This window comes from Homo sapiens, chromosome 8 (assembly GCF_000001405.40).
Source record: "Homo sapiens chromosome 8, GRCh38.p14 Primary Assembly".
Classification (NCBI taxonomy): domain Eukaryota; kingdom Metazoa; phylum Chordata; class Mammalia; order Primates; family Hominidae; genus Homo; species Homo sapiens.
In genome coordinates, this window is record NC_000008.11 from 27,127,069 (window position 1) to 27,131,203 (window position 4,135).

Below are 4,135 nucleotides of genomic sequence, written 5' to 3' on the forward strand. Positions count from 1 at the left end.
GCAAATGTAATGCATGTAAACTACAACCCCCAGAATGCACTGTTGCTAAGACCCTTTCTGGTTCCTCACTTATTCCCTGGGTACAACATCCCTAGTCTCTCACCTCCTTCACCATCTTCTCACCCCCTCCCTTGTCTTCTCTAGTGTTTTTTGGAATTTTCCATCTCTGCCTGAATTTAGAAAGGTGGTGGGTTGCAGACAGGTGGAGATGAGAACAGGACCATGAAACTCGGGTAATTTCCAGAGAAGCCTACATGGGATAGAGAACACCTGTCTGCCTATTTTATAGTCCCTCTGAGCCTGGGTTCATGAGCCAGAGAACATTTGTTCAGGAGGTGCGAACCATCTTCATCTCTGTTTTTGCAGATGGTATCTAATTTGCGAGCCAAGCCTGAGTGTGCCGTTAGTAAAAGCATGGTGGGTTATTCTCAGCCCGGCTCCATCTGCTTTATAATTATTGTCACTTCTTCCAAGATTCTGGCATTGAGTTGTCAGTCTTCGTTTGTAACTGGCTTTCCTTTGGCTTTGTGGACATCTCAGCAAGGGGTTTGGAAAGGTTGATTTGAGGCTGTTAGCCAGGCACCATTTAGAACCAGAAGTCTCTTTGGCTTACTATGGAAATTCCCCAAATAGCTCTATCTGGGGATTGAGAAAGCCTAATGAGATAGAGGGGCTGGCTGGCTGACAATAAGAGTCTGCCAAATTAGATGTGTTATTAGAAATAAAACAGATTCTGAGTAGCCAAAAAGGCACTGCACAAATAACACACTTTGCTCACTACAGAAAAGGTAAGTTAGTTTAGCTTTCTTCCACAAGGGGAAATGCACCCCATAGGACACGTTAGACATCTCAGTAAGAGAGAGTGGGTGGGGGCTTCTTGTAGATTTCAGTGCATTCTAGGTGATTCTAATGAGAGTTTAAGGCAGTGGGGGCCAGTTCTGGATTGGATTTTGTCTAGAAGTAAAAACAATTTGGTGATGGGTCATCATAATATTTATCTGGAGGCAGGAGGATGAGAACAAGTTGGCATTGATAAGGAGCAGTAACACACATTTGCATGGTGCATTATGAAGCTATGGTTCAAGGCAAGAATAAATACTTTCTATGACGTTTTCAGCTCAAATAGCAATGAAGATTTTTACTTTAAGAAGCAAACAAGTAAACAAGCAGTAACCAATGCGTAAGTTGGAAGAGGGGGCTGTTTAGTCATTTTGTGGTTGTAGAGTGGCCTTATGTCTGGCTTGTTTACTCATGATCCTGGAATGGCTTTTTCTGAGCTTTGCTTGTCTTCCGGGAGTATGTTTACATTCTGTTAGGACCATCACAGCCTGACTGCCAGCACCATTTTTCACTATCTCACATATTATCTTTTTATTCTATGCAACAAGTCTTTGATTGTAGGTAGTATTTTCATCATTGCATATTCCAGATGTGGAAATGAGTCAAAAGAGAGATTCAACAACCTATTCTCATGTTGTTAACCACTGAAATACTAGAGCCTGGTGGGGAGAGCTTTTCTGTTGTTCTTCCAGGTATATCAGATGTCTAGGATTTTGGCCCAGTGCAGTTCGTGATCAGTTCTAAACTGATCATGGGTTTACTATTTGAGTCATCATAGAATTGTCTGAACTGTTGAGTGCTAAAAACTTAGGGCAGAAAAGGAAGATGATATATTAGGCTCCAGTGACTATTAATCATCATTATGCTGCCTGATGGCCTTGGATAAGCTACACCTTAGATTGAAACTGGAACTTAGAGAGTGTGCTCCAAGAGATATAGTGACAGTTGCTAAGCAAAGGGGTTGTATTTTAATAATAAAAGTCCTTCTGCCTGAGAGCTTAGATAAGATGTTCTCCCCATTACATCATGTTCTGGGCTATAAGACAGATCATCTGGTGGTCTGAGACCACTGAATATAGACACAGGTAGGAAGCTGTAAGGAAGAAAGCTAAACTTGCTCCTTTGTGACTGAGGGCATTTATCTTGAGGTTGGAAACACATATGTGGGCAGTGTAACTCCATGCCTGATGTGGCTGCATATGTTTCTACTCTGCTTCTATTTCCAACTCCAAAACTCATTCTGTTGAATTTTCAAGTAGCTGCTGGCTCATTTCTGTTATAAACTTGGCCATGCCTTTCCCAATGGAAAGGCAGATAACTACATCTTTGTTCTTTCACTGTCTTATTATAGATCCTGTATACATGTGAATTTGGGTAGGAGGAAAATATATTTGTTCAAATTTTGCAACTTGACTTTTTCTTCATGAAGACAAAGCAAAGCACTAGGACAGTTATTATGTAAATCAGAAAAAAATCAAAATACTTGTTTTTAAAAATGCATGTCAGTGTTCTGTATCTCAATTATGCTGGTGGTTCCATAACTATATGCATTTGTCAAAATTCATAGAACTATATGCTGAAATAGGTGAATTTTATGATAGGTAAATTAGACTTCAAAAAGCCTAGCTTTTGAAAGCTGCATGTTAGAGGGCAAATGGAGCATTCTTATGGCCAAGAGCCACTGGACATCTGATAGCCTTGCCCTTCATGTCATCTCACTCTTCTAGGCCTAGGCTGAGATGGGTGCCACGGAGCAGGAGTGCCTAGGGGGCTGGGTTCTTTTGGCAAGCCCAGGGTGGAGTTGCTGGTGATGCTGCACTCTACAAAAGAAGATGCACTGTGGTTGGGCTTTCCTTAAGTCTCTTTAATAAGACAGGCCCTTTCCATAAAGGAAGATGAGGGCCCTGCAATGCATAGAGAGAGAAGCAAGGAATAGAAGTTAAGAAGTAGAGGCCGGGCACAGGAGCTCACACCTAAAATCCCAGCACTTTGTGGGGACGAAGCAGGAGGATCCCTTGAGCCCAGAAGTTTGAGACTAGCCTGGGCAACACAGTGAGACCTGTCCCTACAAAACTTAGCCGGGGATGGTGGCGCATGCCTGTAGTCTCAGCTACTCAGGGAACTGAGGCGAGAGAATCACCTAAGCCTGGGAAGTCAAGGTTGCAAGTGAGCCATCATGACCACTGCACTCCAGCCTGGGTGTCAGAGTGAGGCTGTGTCTCAAAAACAGCAACAACAAGATCAAAGAAAAAAGAAAGAAGTAGAGCCTGGGTCAGTCATTCCAGCTGCAGGACACATGGAGGGGCAGGAGATGATGGTGCGGGGGTGATGATGGAGGGGTGGGAGACAATGGTGGTGGCAGAAGAAGACAACTCAAGGCAGCCTAAAATACGCCGCTGCAAATATCCCCAACTAAACAAACCATTAAGCAACAAGAGCATCACGACCTCCACTAGCTACCATTGTTCTGGAAATTCTGCTCATTGCAATGAGGAGACAAGTATGTAAGAGAAAAAACTCTTTGGAAAAGGCAGTTATTATGAACCACAAATAACAATATTGTTAACCTAGAACTTCCAAAGAAATCTACTGAAAAGGTATAAAAACTTAAACAAAAATTTGATAGTTGGCAATTACAAAATAAATGTGCAAAAAGTTTTCCCAGTATAATACTTACGAGATAAAAAATACAAAGAAAAACTGTTATTCACAATGGCAATACTATGTATAAACTAGACAAGAGTAAATTGAACAAGAAATATACTGTACCAGTATTAAGATAGAAGAGGAGGAGAAGAAGGAGGAGGAGGAGGAAAAAGGAGAAGAGGAGAGAGATAGAGAGAGAAGGAGAAAGGGAGAGAGAGAGAGAAATAGATTATGCTTCTGCATTGGAGCATCTAGTATTTAAAAGATAAGAGTTCTTTTTAAATTAATGTATAAATTTAATGCAATGCTAATCAAATTCTAATAAAGGGATTCTAGAGTTAATTTGTAGATATATTGTTAATTTGTAGTTAATTTGTAGATATAATTTGTAGATATATTGAGCAAAAATAACCAGAAACCTTTAGGGGAAAGAGAATGATGAAAGAGAACTTACACTAGCAGATGTATAGACATATTTTAAGTCTATGATGATGAAAGCAATGGCTTTCTCTCACTAGACAAACAAATTAAAGCAACAGAAAAGAAATCCTAGAAATAGACCCAAACATATAGAGTACATGATAAAGGTGGACTTAAGGTCAGTAGCATAAGGATGAACGACTAAATAAACTGATCTTGATCATTAGTT

General features: G+C 40.6%; 1 annotated feature.

The window, feature by feature from the left end:
* Nucleotides 1,571–1,771: a silencer, noted in NCBI's record as "peak6966 fragment used in MPRA reporter construct". NCBI's record gives its function as "represses an SCP1 promoter by STARR-seq MPRAs in K562 erythroleukemia cells {active_cell/tissue: K562}" and the evidence as "EXISTENCE:reporter gene assay evidence [ECO:0000049][PMID:32103011]".